This window comes from Homo sapiens, chromosome 4 (assembly GCF_000001405.40).
Source record: "Homo sapiens chromosome 4, GRCh38.p14 Primary Assembly".
In the NCBI taxonomy this organism is placed as follows: domain Eukaryota; kingdom Metazoa; phylum Chordata; class Mammalia; order Primates; family Hominidae; genus Homo; species Homo sapiens.
Genome location: NC_000004.12, coordinates 136,772,604 through 136,785,525, shown reverse-complemented (window position 1 = coordinate 136,785,525; position 12,922 = coordinate 136,772,604).

Genomic DNA, 12,922 nt, shown 5'->3' with positions numbered 1-12,922 from the left:
TAACTATTACAATTTAATTTACTACTTTCCATATGTAGTTTCAGAAGTCATTTTCTGCTGAGAGATATCATTTAGTAAGGTGTAAGTTCTATCTTTAGGCAAACATTAAGAACTGTAATTGTAGGTAGAATGAAAGTAGCATTACTTCTATATATTATTTCCACCTTACAGAAAACATACATATTACTACTATCACTGTTACTTCCATTAGTTGAACAGAATTACTGCACTGGTATCAAGTTTATTAAAGTAGATGCTAAGTACAAATTTTCAGATGGAGTGCCTAACTCAGAGTAGAAATTCAAAAATTTCAGTTAATTCTCCCTTGAAGATGGCCGAACACTTAACAGCTTACTTGTTCCCATGAATGAAATAGATTGAGTACATGGGTCAATTTTAAGCCATTGATTACTCAAGATAGAGACCATTGTTGGTCTATTTCCTCCCTCTTTCTCTCCGCTCAATTTTCAGAAGAGGAAATTTTTACAGTGTAACACAGAATTATACTTTATGATTTGTGATGTCGTTTTAAAACTGACTGAAATGTTACTATGACTCATGCCGACTTTTCATGGATTGTGTTTTAGAGTTTGAAATGAGTGTCAGCAGAGGATGTGGAATTTCCTTTACTTAAAAAAGGTAAAAACTGAAAACATAAAGGCTTTTGAACTCTGATAAAAAGAAACTGCAATGATGAATAAATATATGCATTTATATACACATATGTAAACACACATAAAATACATGTAAAAATTATTATTAATTTAGTCTATGTATACTTAGAAATAAAAAGCAAAAAAAAAAAAAAGTCCATCTTTTCTTCTTACCATCTGTGTGTTAGGTGGCAGAAGGCAAGCTGGCCCAATCACCATTTCTGAGTAAATGGTCTTGAGTAAATTTGCCTCTTTGCTAAAGAAACTAGGATCCACTTCTCACTGTTGCTCACCACGCAGTCAGAACTTATTATAAGTAATATTGGATAGATCTGGGAGGACATCCAGATGGATCTGGGAAGGCATAAGCAACTCTACATTTTAGAAATTCCTCTCCCCAACTGACCTGTGAAGTCACTGGCTAATGAGTTTATTATTTCATACCACTTTAAGAGCTGCTTGGTTCTATGTTCACTTTTGAGTATGATGGAGTAGATTGAGGCAGACCATTTCTCTCTCTAAGAAAAAACAGGAAAGCCAGATAAATACCAAAAGAACTCCCTTACCATTACTTTTCACATTTGACTTCTAACTTCACTTGTACATATGATTTTTCTTTCTAATATAACAAAGTTGAACAATTTGTGTATATCCCCTCTAATTTATTTTTATATGACATAATTTCACCTAATGAAAAAAACAAATTGATTTTTTATTTAAACAATCACTTTGGCATATTAATATCAGATTGGAAACAGAAGCACTTATTTTAAAAAATTTAATAGCGTTTTGTTGGGATACATATTCTACTCCAAAGAGTAGAATTTTAAGAGCAGAATTAAGAAGCATTAAAAATGATACATAATATCAACATGCCTGTAATTTTTTTGTTGTGTAGTTGGCGCTGCAAAAAGAGAAAAAAAAACACTCCATCTTCCTTCACTGACAGTCCTTTTTAACCAGGTGTCACAAACAAGCATTGCTATCAGAGTGCTGAGTTTGCTGAATACAGAAAATGTTTCTTTAAGGTACAAGTAATATACAATGAATCTGCTTGATAAACATGATTGCCTAGTCAAAACTGCATTCTGCCGGAAAGTAAATGTACTTAATATGGCTACCCAATTGAAAACATTTGCAGACTGCATCAAGGAAAATTATAAATATCTGACATCACTTGGGATGCAGTTGATTATATTTGTGGGCAGCATTTTTATAGAATTTATATTACATCAAAAGTGCTGACAAAACCAACATTTTACACTATTGAAAAAATTATAAGACTGTTCTGTGGCAAAGTATGATTGATGAGCCCATTAACTTAATATATGTTTTTAGTCAAACAGTTTCTTTTGAAACTATATTGCTATATCCTGTTTTTAGGTATTCTTAATAATGTTAAATTAAAGTCATTTTTGACTTTGATGAAGGAAAAAGTGATGTTAAGAAACTGTTTTTAGTCAAATTATTTTAACAAGACATATAAAACCCGATTTCTATAAGTCTCAGATGATTAAACATACTTTTTCTCCTATTTAGTCCAGAGAAACCAGAAAAACTGCTGATATTTTCATCTGACTGTCCAGCATGTAAGCTTAGGTTAAAAGTTCCGTTTTCCCTTGATACCTATTCATATTGAATTTTGAATAGCCTTCTTCAATAGCGGTTTTTTGATAGATGTCAATGTCTTTACCCTTGGCTCTGATGTTTCAGAATTGCTTCAGTTAGTCTGAGTCCTCATGATCTCCCACTCTGTGGGCCACTTTGTATACACTAGACTCTAGACCAAAGCAGAAGCATTTTTACTGCTTTGATTCAGTAGAATCAAGAAAGACTATATTTCTTTTCCTTTTCTTTCCTAACCTTTAGCTTGAAAACCAGGGGACTTTTACACAGCACTTTACAATTGTTTGAGTTTCATGAATTCTCAACCAGTGGATGAAACTGGATTGAGCACTGATTTGATTGATTATTGCCCTGGAAATGCTTGAGTCCTTATGATTGTTCATCAGGAGAAAAATGTTAAAAACAAGCTTGGTCTCTAATAAGAGATTTGAGGACAATCAGAGATAACATTCTTAAGACCTGTTACCTGTATTATTTGGGGGATTTATGATTGATCTCTGCTTCTTGATATCAGAAAGGACTAACAGTGTTAACTCAGATAGTTTTCCTGTGATCACATATAGGAGTAGGAAATACTTTTAGTTAATTGATTCATAAGTTTTCTATTATTCAAAATTTCTTTTTAAATATTCCTGTCTTCTTAAAGACTCTTTTCTCTCTATCTCATCATTTCCACACAAGTTTTACATGAAATCCCTGCACTTCTATGCATTTTTTTAAAAAGGGGTCTTTGAATATGTCATGTTGACACATGTATGTTCCAGACGATTAATATACAAGCATTGACAAATATTTATTATTTATCATTACACCTTTATAGTTAGGAAATATTTTAATTTAAAGTAATAAAAAATACTCTGGTGATATGAAATATCCTGATCACACCTCACACATGGAACAATTATAAAATAATTTTTACTAAATACTTAAAAATCAGTATTTTTATGGCAGTCAGGCTCAATAAAAGTGCACAGCACTTTAGAAAATCAAACCCTTGAAATAAAGGAAGTAGACTGGGTCTAATTGCTTGTCACTATTTTGCCTGAGGGTAGACCTCAAAATCTTAGGTATAGCATATTAAATTAAGTAGTCTTAATTGCTCCGTGTGTCCAAATACAAAGTTCAGGGTTAGTACAGTAACTTTTTTAAAAGAAAAATAAAACTGAAATGAGAAGAAATCCAGACAAATGAGAAACATAGATGTGGAGTTCTAACATTTGTTTGTAAGCTTTGCTCAGATCGTCAGTTGATTATTGAATTATGCCTCTGGGAAGGAAACTCCAGAGCATATATTGATAACAGCATCTAGAATCTAAAACAACTAAGTGGAGATTTCTAGTGTATACTGCTCTAGAGAGAAAGGAGAGTTAAGAGTCAGAGTCTCAGACAAATTAGTAGCCTCCTAGAACAAAGATCAATCCTCCTCAAAGCAAAACAGTTAAATGCAGGGCATCTAAAACAATACTCTTCAAAATACTTATTGTAAGACAAAAAATCAAGTATATTCAAGTGTTTAATTCTATATAAAGTCTCACATTTTTCTCTCTAAGTACATCATGATTAAATATGCATATTGAAATGCCAAAGAAAACATAACTCATACCAAAAAAGTCATTAGATACAGATCCCCAGATGATCCAGATGTTGGAAAAATCAGAGGTGCCATTTTAAATATGTTCACAAACATGAAAAAAATATGGTAATAAACAATTAAAATAAGGACTTTCATCAGGCAACTATCGATAATAAAAATAAAAACAAATGGACATTCTAGAATGGAAAAGTACAATCAGTGAAAGGAAAACATGACCAAATAAGCTTAACAGCAGTATTTAAGAATACAAAAGAGTAGGTCAATGAAGTTGAAGAGATATCAATAGAAATTATACAATCTGATCCACAGAGATTTGTGACCAAAGGACAAAAATTAGGTGGTCCACAATCTATATGACTAAAAACCTGGAAGATGAAGAGAGAAAAAGTAAATAGAAAATGTATTTGAAAAAATAATAGTAGAAATTTTTCCAAATATGTTGTATAATTTCTAGCTAAGTTTGAAGAAGCAAAGTGACTGCTAAACAAAATAAAAGAAAGAAAACCGAACCTAAAATTTCATACCAACAGTGATAAAATGCAAAGACAAGAAAGTAGCCAGAGAAAACTGGCAGGTTTCATATAGGGAAACAATGTGTGAGGCTGATCTCTCATAAGAAAAGCAATTGGAGGCTAGAAAGAAATGGAGCAAAATCCTTAAATTGTTAAAATAATATAAAAGTATCAATCCATGAAATCTATAGTTAGCAATTCTGGTCTTTAGGTGAAGTGGGAATAAATGCATGCTTAGATGAAAGAAAACAGAGAATTATTTTCCAGAAGATTTACATTACAAAGAATGACCAAAGTGTGTTCACTGGGCTAAAGTGAAGTAGCTTCAGATGCAAACTCAGATCTCTAGTTATCAATAAAGAGCACAGGAAAGAGTAAATATGTGCAGAAGATAGCTATTTCTAATTTTGTAAAAGATATATGACTGCTTAAAGCTAAAATCATTACACAAATTGCAGAGCTTATACAAATAACATAATACAGAGGAGGTCATCTGAATGATGCAGTTACAAGGTTCATATATTCTATATAAAGTCTCACATTATTCTCTCTAAGTACATCATGATTAGTTAAATATGCATGTTGAAATGCCAAGACTCAATCACTAAAAATTAATTAAACCAACAAAATGTGGGAAATGAGGAATGGAGGAGCAAAAATAGAACAAAGAAAAGCAAATAGTAAATGGAAGATAAAAATTCAACTATATCAATAATTCTATTAATTAGACTAAACAGACTAAACATTCCAATTAAAAAGCAGAGAATACCAGCCTGGATTTTAAAAAGAAGGAGGGAAGGAAAGATGGAAGGGAGGGAGGGAGGAAGGAGGGAAGGAAAGAAAAGGAAAGAAAGGAAGTCCAACCATATGTTGTCTATTACAGAAACACTTCCAACGCAAAGACACAGAAACAAAGGAAAAGGATATTCCATGAAAACACTAATTATACATAAGCTCTAGTGACTACATTACTACCAGACTATGTATACTTTGATGCAAAAACTGTTACCGGAAATAAAGTGGGAAATAGCATATGTTAATAGGATCAACTAATCAGTAGATTAAATATTTATAAGTGTGTATGCAAGTAGTAGATTTTCGTAAATCATGACAAAACGGAAGGAGAAATAGGCAAATAAACAATCATAGTTGAAATTTTAGCAAAACTCTCTCAATATTTGGTACAATAGACCAAAGAAATTAATAAGAATGTAGAATATCTAAACAGAAAAATCAACTACCTTGACATAATATTTACACAATGTTATGCTCAGCAATTATAGAATACACATTTTATCAAAGGCACATAAGATTTTTACCTAGATAGATAATATACTGGACCATAAAAAATAGTCTCAATAAATACAAAAAGACTAAAATATTTTTTAAAAAAGATATTTTATGGTGACTTTAGACTTAAATCAAAATGGGTAACAATGTTATATCTACAAAATTGCCAAATGTTGAGAAATTAAACCATACAACGAAAGCAGTACTCACAGGAAAATTTTTAGTTTCAAGTGTTTATATCCAAAACAATGTTTTAAAATATTGATCTAGATTTGTTTTTTAGAAAGCTGGAAAAAAAAGTAAAACAAAGGAAGTAAATTAAAATGAATAATAAAGAGCAAAAATCAATTGCATTAGAAAAATAATCAAAAAATTTACAAAACTCAAAGGTGCTTCTTTAAAAGTATTAATAAACTTAAAAACACATAACAAAATGGATCTATAAACAAAAAAGAGATAAATTTCTAATATCAGAAATTAAAAAAACAAAATAGAACCTCTATATATCAAAGTAATAAAATATGTACAACTTTATACTAGTAACTTTCACATTTAAGATAAATTAAAAATTATCTTTAAAAAATTCAACCTACTGAAATTGACACAAAAATTTACTTTGTTATTAAGTATTTGTAACAAACAAAGCTCCAGATTATATGTAATGATTAAGAAGAAACAGAGTCAAGTTCGTACATACTCTTTCAGGAAAATAGAGGAGGAGAAAACAACTCCTAAATAATTTTCTGAAGATAACATATCCCTTATTCTAAAACATGTCTCAGATATTAGAAGAAAAAAACTTATTGACAATCACCTTATAAGCCTCGATGTGAAAATACTTACAAAAATATTAGCAAATTCAACACACAGATATATTACACAAAAATAATATTTTATGAATAAAATAAGTATATTAAGGATATAATTTAAGATTTAAATAATAATATCAATCATAGTGATATTGCTATCATTGCTATCAATTATTTTAAGGTTATTTTATTTAAACAGAATTGGCTGCCTATTCAATAGACTTTATTTTTTTGAGAAGTTTTAGGTTCACAGCAAAATTGAGCAGAAAACTGCTACTTTTTAAAGAGGCAGAAGCAATTTCAAGCAAAGTAAGGATTTAATATTAACATATGCAATACATTGACTATTAATGATTTTTACGGGTAGTAGAATGGTTTTCCCCATGTAATTAACATTCAGGATTAGTTGAGACAGTGTTACTTCCTCAAAAAACCCAACTGAAAACTTTAAGATATGTGAAAGATGCTTTGAGAAGTGCAGTGTGATACAAGAAATGAATGCTATGAAAGAGTTAACAGGATTCAGATAGGAATTGATAAGTCCCATGGAAAGGGTGATAGAATGTCAAGTACGCATTCATTGGAGTTCTCGCTATATTTCTGTAGCACGATTAGTAAAGTTCCCAGATTCCTGAATACTGAGAATAAAATATGGGACCTGAGCTAAGGTCTGGAGCCTTTGATACAGTGAAAGTAAAAGCGGCCTGGTGTGATGGCTCACACCTGTAATCCTAGCACTTTGAGAGGCCAAAATGAGAGGATTGATTGAGCTTAGGAGTTTGAGACCAGCCTGGGCAATGTAGGGAGACCCCATCTCTACAAATAATTCAAAAATTAGCAAGATGTTGTGACATGCATTTGTGGTCCCAGCTACTTGGGAGGCTGAGGTGAGAGATCCCTTGAGGCCAGAAGTTCAAGACTGCAGTGAGCTGTGATTGCATCACTACACTGCACCCTGGGAGAAAGAGTGAGAATCTGTCTCAAAAAACAAAATAAAAATAAATAAATAAATAAAATAAAAGCCAAAATCTCAATTCTAAATTGGCTTCATGAGGGTAAATTATGGACTTTTATAAAGAAAAATATAGCAAGAAGAAAAATAAAACAACTATATGAAGTTAGATACGTGCATAAATTGTCTGACATTTGTATAATGAATGACTCTGCTTCATCACTTTAATAAACCCTAAACTCCGTTGTTTCAACATCAATCATTCATTCATTTCAATATACTCCTCATAAGTCAATGGAACTTAGCACAGTTCATCCCGACATACATAAGTATGTATACATTCAAGAGGTTAGTCGGAGTCAGTCAGCCATTTTTATTCAACATTACAGTTCATCTTGGCTGCCCTCCCAAACTTATTCAACAGTTATTAATTGTGGCTTCCTATATATCCCTTTAGGAAAAGAGATCTGGTCAGAAACACTAAATGGCTTGCCTGGTCTTAGAGTAAATTGAAAATTCTCAATATGGCATTTATTAACTTTTATAAACAAACATAACTTTTTAAACATTTACCTTTTACCAATTTCCTCCAGTCTTCTGCAGTAGACAATTTACTACTTGATAACTTCTGAAAATGTTTGCATGATTATTTTTCTCCATGCCACAGTTCATGATTTTATTCTTGGTGTTCTCTGTAAACGGTGAGTAAAGGGACCGAATCAGGCTTCAGCTCCAGCTGAGGTACAATCTCTTTCATGATAACATTTTCAGCCTCAGAGATTCCCCAGATGAAATATATATTCTCTATGCTCAATGTATTAATCTATTCATAATGCTATAGCAAAATAACTGAGACTGTGGCTGGGTAATTTACAAACAGAATAAATTTATTGTTCACAGTTATGGAAGCTGAGAAGTCTAAGATTGCAGGGCCAGATGGTTTGGTGTCTGGTGAGGGCCCAGTCTCCGCTGCCAAAATGCTGTTGTATTAGTCCATTTTCACACTGCTCTAAAGAAATACCCGAGACTGTCTAATTTATAAGGAAAAGAGGTTTAATTGACTCACAGTTCCAAATGGCTGGGGAGACCTTAGGAAACTCGCAATCATAGTAGAAGGTGAAGGAGAAGCAAAGGCATGGCTTACATGGTGGCAGGCAAGAGAAATGCAGAGCGAAGGAGTACAGAATCTCTTATAAATCCATCAGATCTCATGAGAACTCACTCATTATCAGGAGAACAACATGGGAGAACCACCCCCATGATCAAATCACCTCCCATGAAGTCCCACCTACAACATGTGAGAATTAGAAATCAGATTACAATTCAAGATATTTGGATGGGGCCTCAGAACTAGACCACATCATTCCACACTTGGTCCCTCCCAAATCTCATCTTTCTCACGTTTTAAAACACAATTATGCCTTCCCAACAGTACCCTAAAATCTTAACTCATTTCAGCATTAACCCAAAAGTCCAAGTCCAAAAGGTGTCTTGTTGCTATGTCCTCCATAGGGGACGACAAACACTGTGTCCTCACATGGTGGAAGGTGGAAGGGCAGAAGAGCCTAGCCAGTCCCCTCCTTTTTAAGGCTCTAATCCCATCCATAAGGATGCAACTTTCATGGCCTAATCACTGCCAGAAGGCTCTACCTGTTAATATTAGTGTATTTGGGATTCGGTTTCAACATGGATTTTCAAGGGGATACAAAAATTTAAACCACAGCACTCCATGCTGAAGTTTGGAGGAATCCTTAAATAATATCGTTACGTCTTTAAAATATAAGTTGAGTATCCCTTATCCAAAATTCTTGAGACCAGACGTGTTTTGGATTTCAATTTAAAAAATTGGGAATATTTGCATTAAACTTACTGGTTCAACATGCCAAACCCAAAATTCTGAAATCGAATATGCTCTAATGAGCTTTTCCTTTGACCATCATATTTCTGCTCAAAAAGTTATAGATTTTGGAATTTTTTGGATTTCAGATTTTTGAATTTGTCATGTTCAATCTGTAATGCCACTTTTCTCAATCTAAGTTTGGAACTCAAAGAGAGATAGACACTGGAGTTATTCAAATGTATGTAAAAATGTCAACTTTGCTACTACTAACAGTCTGTGTCTTTAGATGGGTAAGCCAAGTAGGATCAACCATTGAATAAAAAGATGCAAACAGACACTGTATTGTAATATATCTCTTATTGTCTAGTTAGTATTACCAAAAAGTTACTTTAATTTTCCAAGGATAGTTCCTCATTATTTAACATCTATTATTTTACAAAACAGCAATAAATACTTATCCTCATCTTAACTATCAATATATAAATATATTCAGTATTCACTTCTTTGGAATACAACCTTGAGTAAAAGAAAAAGAATAGTAAAAGTTAAGTAATTCAGATTCAGAATATTTCCATTATTCCATTCTTCTCTTTCTATCAGAATCATTCTTTTAATATTTCTATGACAATAGACATAGTTTCCTATTTCAACCCTTATCTTCTATGTTTGTTGTCTATGAATCGAAGTTGAAGGAAGGCTTTGGTAAGATGAGGTTAAAACGTCCAGAAAAATAAATAGTTTTAGTATAAGTGTATATACTTATATTAAATGACCTCATTACATGCTAGGCTACTATGTCTTAAAGAATACAACTGTAGATAAGAGAAACACAATATCTACCTTCATAGAAATTAAAGACTAATGTAAAATACACATGTAAACAGGCAACAGCAGTATTGTGAAGTTAAGTAAAGAATTAGGGGAGTTATAGAGTGCAATGTGAACACTTGAAAGGTGGTTACTTAATCCTCAGGAGAATTTGTTCCTTTTTTATATGGTTTATTCTCTCATTTGACTACTGCCGTCATTTGGAATAAGAGAGATTAAAGAACAGTTTTCTGAAGTAAGTTTATTTTCTTTGTGTATTCTATTCTAACTACTGAAATAGTCCCTGGAAGAACACTCATACAGTACTTAGCCATTCTTTAAACATTCATTTTAATCTAGTAAACCTCCTATGAACCACTCGCTTCAACACCAGTCTCATACTAAGCAGAACAAATGCCACATTGGTCACTGTTCTTTTGAGACACTACTTATCTTACACAGCTTTTAGTTTCTAATGTATTGTACTTAATGTTAAGTGCTGTGTAGCCCAACGATTGAGAGTACAAACTTTATCTTATTACTTTTAATAACTAAAAGGCAGGTGCTTGAGTTTGAATCCTAACTCTGTCATTAACTAGCTTGAATTTAGGCAAGCTTTATTTTCAAAAACTTCTCCAGGCCTACCTAGCTTGGAGTTACAACGGAAGGCATGTCACCACTAAATGCTAGAATTTTTATTGATTTTGAGCTCCCACTTGATCAATTAGTAGAACACATTGCATGTTTCCAGACTTTACTTTTTATGATAATTCTAAGAAATTCTAGGACATTTACACATATCTGAAATCAACTACAGCTATCATAATCACTTGCCAGTGGAGAAAAAAATTCCAAAGTGACCCTAAAGGGTGTTGGATTCCTGAACATTTCAGTTAATGTTAGTTTTCTCCATACATATGCTGCCTACTACCTGCAGATGCTACCACTTTTAAGCCTGCCTGAACAAGAAATGTCAATGAGGTTCTTTAAAGCAGAGAATCAGTTCCCAATCTCTCAGAATGAAGAAACAGAAAAGAATAGGGATAATGAACATTCAAATAAAATTCGTTGATCCCCTACATGTCACTGCCATTCAACAATAATGTTCTTCTTGCCACTGGGACTCGCTGGTCAGAAAGCCATGTAATTCCCAGAGACAGGGGTTCTAACCAATTCACACAGTCTTGATGATCCCAAAGCCATTGCTGCTAATGCCATCTGTAAAGTCAGAATCTACAGGGTAAAATCTGAGGTCCATACAGATATGTTTCTCACCAAGGTATGTATATAAATGAAGCTGGTTTTGGCTGCAAATACTAAAACACTCAAACTAAAATGAGTTAAATATTAAGAGGACTTATTACAAAGCCTGGGAATAAAATTGTTTCTGCTTTTGTCAATTTAGGTTCTCTATATCATGATCAAGGGTCCATATTCTTTTCACTTTTTTTCTGGTGATTCATTCTCAGCACATTGGCTCTCTCTCATTTTGCTGAAAAATGGTTTAAGAATCCCCAGGCATTCTAATCTCACACACTAATGTCTGGAGTCAGATCATTTTTTTCTTAAGTCTTACTTATGACCTAATTAACCATTTCACCACTAGGAGATTTAAACTCCTCATTGGCTAGAATTGAGACGTAAGGACATGCCCATATCAAATAAAAAATGTTAAATATACATATGGCCATGAGTATTTTATAGCAAGGCAAAATCTACTACTATTATTTATTAATGAATCTCTCAGGAACACTTTGTGATCTACCAAACAGTTGTCTGTTTTATCACTCACAGGTTCTGTTGTGAGAGTTTATTATATTATGATTTTACTATAATTTATCCTTATGAAGATTTAAAGTTTTTAAATAATTTCTGTGGATATTTATTAATAATTTTAGTCATTTAATTTCTCCATAATAGATCCATTTACTTCAAGAAATTATACCAACTTTACCCATAACTTTGAGCAAAGGAAAAAGAAAAAAACCTGCCCACTGATACCACTCATTGACAACATGGCTAATTGTTTATTAAACTTAAAGCATGGTAGTTCAAGTGGGTCATGACCCAGTTTAATAACATGTAAGTTTTGGATATGCCTTTCACTTTGGTTGGACTAAATAAAATTGATTATTTCACCTGAATGTGGTGTCTCAGAGGACAGATTAGTTGAGTGTATTTAATGAGTCCTATTGGACAGTGGAAGGAAACAACAGTTTTGAAGAGCATCTAGGTTATTACATACTAAATTTAGTTTTAGTTAACATTGAAGAGGATGATTTGTTATTATTCATGTATGTATACTAATTATAAGAACCCCTTGCTAATAGAAACAGCATTATACTTTGGAATGTGTGTTTGTATTTACAGCTAGCCTTACAGTAAATATCCTTGAATGTGGTTGTTAATCTTAAAGAAAATATTTGATAATTTTAGAGAAGCCTACCACTTCAGCTACAGATCCATGCCTTCATTATTGATGAGTATAGCTTTATAGTAGGTTTAGTGAAAGAGCTTTAGGTATCATTATTTTAATAGCATCACTTTTCTAAAGAAGGTACATTTAGCAATGTGAAATGTTAGTGATCATGGGTCTCCTCTCTACTGAGGATAGAAAAGTTATCTTCTTTCATCCGAGACACTGAAAGTGCTTAGAAGACATTATCTCATTATCTCTATAACATCCTCTGACAGAATTGGCTTGTAGTATAATTCCCATTTTATTGGTGGATAAAGTCATGTACATTATGGTTTTATAATTTAGCTAGGCAGTTGGTCTGCCCTGGCAAGAGAGCTTTCAGCTTTACTTCATCTTGAAAATTTGTCTCATTTATGTCTT